The following is a 1910-nucleotide window of genomic DNA, read 5'->3' on the forward strand; positions in this document are numbered from 1 at the left end:
GATAAAGAAGGCCCCACTGTTGGGGGCTGGGCCCCTCTGAGAGGGGATGTCAGGAGTTGTGGGGCTTGAGGGTAGGTCAGAGAAACCTGAGGGGCAGCTGTCTGGGCATGACTGAGGGTTGTGGTCTGTCCCCTGGGGATGAGGGGGTCACCAGTGGGCATTGAAGATTCGCAAGGCTGTGACTGGGTGTGGGGGAGGGGCGGCTCTGAGCAAGCGGCCATGGGAGTGGAGTGGGGGGTGGGGAGCAGTCAGGGGGCGGCCAGCGGAGCTGGTAGAGGGGGTTTTAGTCAAAGGGGGACCCCCTTGAAGACACATCCGGCCTCCCACGAAGCCTGGGGCCCCTCCCCATTCCAGCAGTTGCCTTCTAAGTCTCAGCCTCATGATCCCACACAGGCCTGCAGCCCCAGCCCTACACCCTGCCGAGTGTCCTTTCCCTCAAGGCCCTATCTGGGGTGCCAGTTACCTCCGCCTACCTCTCCCGCTCTCCTCCAACTGACAGGTCCAGCCTCAGGGCGTCCTTCTGTCCACCTGGAGCCCTCATCCCCAGACACCACATGGAGACTCTCTACTGCCACCAGCTTCTCCTGGCTGGTCCCTTCCAGGCAGTGGGGCCCCGACCCTGCTCAGCTCCCCCACCCTGCTCAGCTCCCCCACCCTGCTCAGCTCCCCCACCCTGCTCAGCTCCCCCACCCTGCTCAGCTCCCCCACTCTGCTCAGCCCTCCCACCCTGCTCAGCTCCCCCAGCCTGCTCAGCCTCCTCAGCCCTCCAGCCTCCTCAGTCCCCGCCAGCCTCCTCAGCACCCCCAGTCTCCTCAGCTCCCACAGCCTCCTCAGCACCCCCAGCCCACTCAGCACCCCCAGTCTCCTCAGCTCCCACAGCCTCCTCAGCCCTCCAGCCTCCTCAGCACCCCAAGCCTCCTCAGCCCCCCAGCCTCCTCAGCACCCTTCAGCCTGCTCAGCCTCCTTAGTCCCTGCCAGCCTCCTCAGCCCCCCAGCCTCCTCAGCCCCCCAGCCTCTTCAGCACCCCCAGTCTGCTCAGCCCCATCTCACTCCTGGCACCATCTGCTCACTTGATGTTTTCACTGTGGGGCTGCCCCCGTTGGAGTGAACTCGCCACCACCCACCACCAGGGCCTTTCTCTGTCTGCATCCCGGATGTCTCATGGGTGCCTATGGGGCTCGCCATCACCTGCTGAGTGAAGGCGGTGTGGATGGAAGATGAGCGAGCCAGCATGGACAGCCGGTGGTCTGTGGGGACTGAGGAATAAGAAGGTGACAGTGGGCAGGCTCTGTCAGGGAGGAAGGACCAGAGAGCCACAGAGGCTGGCAGGGGCAGCAGAGGGCAGTGGGCTGGGGTCGGGGATCCATGTGCAGGGACCGATGGGAGGGCTGGGGCAGGCGCACCCAGGAGACTCTGACTTGCCCTCCGAGTGGAGGGCAGCAGCTACAAGGGGAGCAGAAGGAGGGCCCCACGCCCTGGGCAGCCTGGGCAGAGGAGCAGAGGCAGCCGCAGGTGCTGGCCTCGGGGCGAGGGCAGAGGCACAGTGGAAGGGTCAGATCCTGCAAGGATGTCTGTGAGGGCCACCTGGCAGGCCCTTGTGCTTCCCATGCTGGTGAGTCCTCGTGCCAAGTGCAGGCAATGCCCCAGAGGTGGCAGCTCATCATGGGCCTTGTGGCAGCCCCGTGGCCATCCGGCCCAGGGGGCAGGATGCAAAATCCTGCCGCCAGGAGTTGGACTGGCATGGGCTGGAGCCCGGCTGGCTGTGTGATCCTCAACTGCACGCCTGGGTGACCTCACTTGTTTCTGCTGTGAGGACTAAGCTCAAACGCAATGACTTTGAATAAGTGAAGGTGCTCCCTGACGGTTCTGGGTGAGCTGGTGGTGGGGGTTCCCTCTGGAGGCACAGGTGG

General features: G+C 64.7%; 1 annotated feature.

Annotated features, from left to right (window-relative positions):
• Positions 1107 to 1607: an enhancer, noted in NCBI's record as "H3K4me1 hESC enhancer chr2:10662988-10663488 (GRCh37/hg19 assembly coordinates)". NCBI's record gives its function as "activates a minimal SCP1, AML or CMV promoter by ChIP-STARR-seq in naive H9 embryonic stem cells {active_cell/tissue: H9 hESC(naive)}" and the evidence as "EXISTENCE:reporter gene assay evidence [ECO:0000049][PMID:30033119]".

The sequence above is a fragment of the Homo sapiens genome, chromosome 2 (assembly GCF_000001405.40).
Source record: "Homo sapiens chromosome 2, GRCh38.p14 Primary Assembly".
Lineage (NCBI taxonomy): Eukaryota > Metazoa > Chordata > Mammalia > Primates > Hominidae > Homo > Homo sapiens.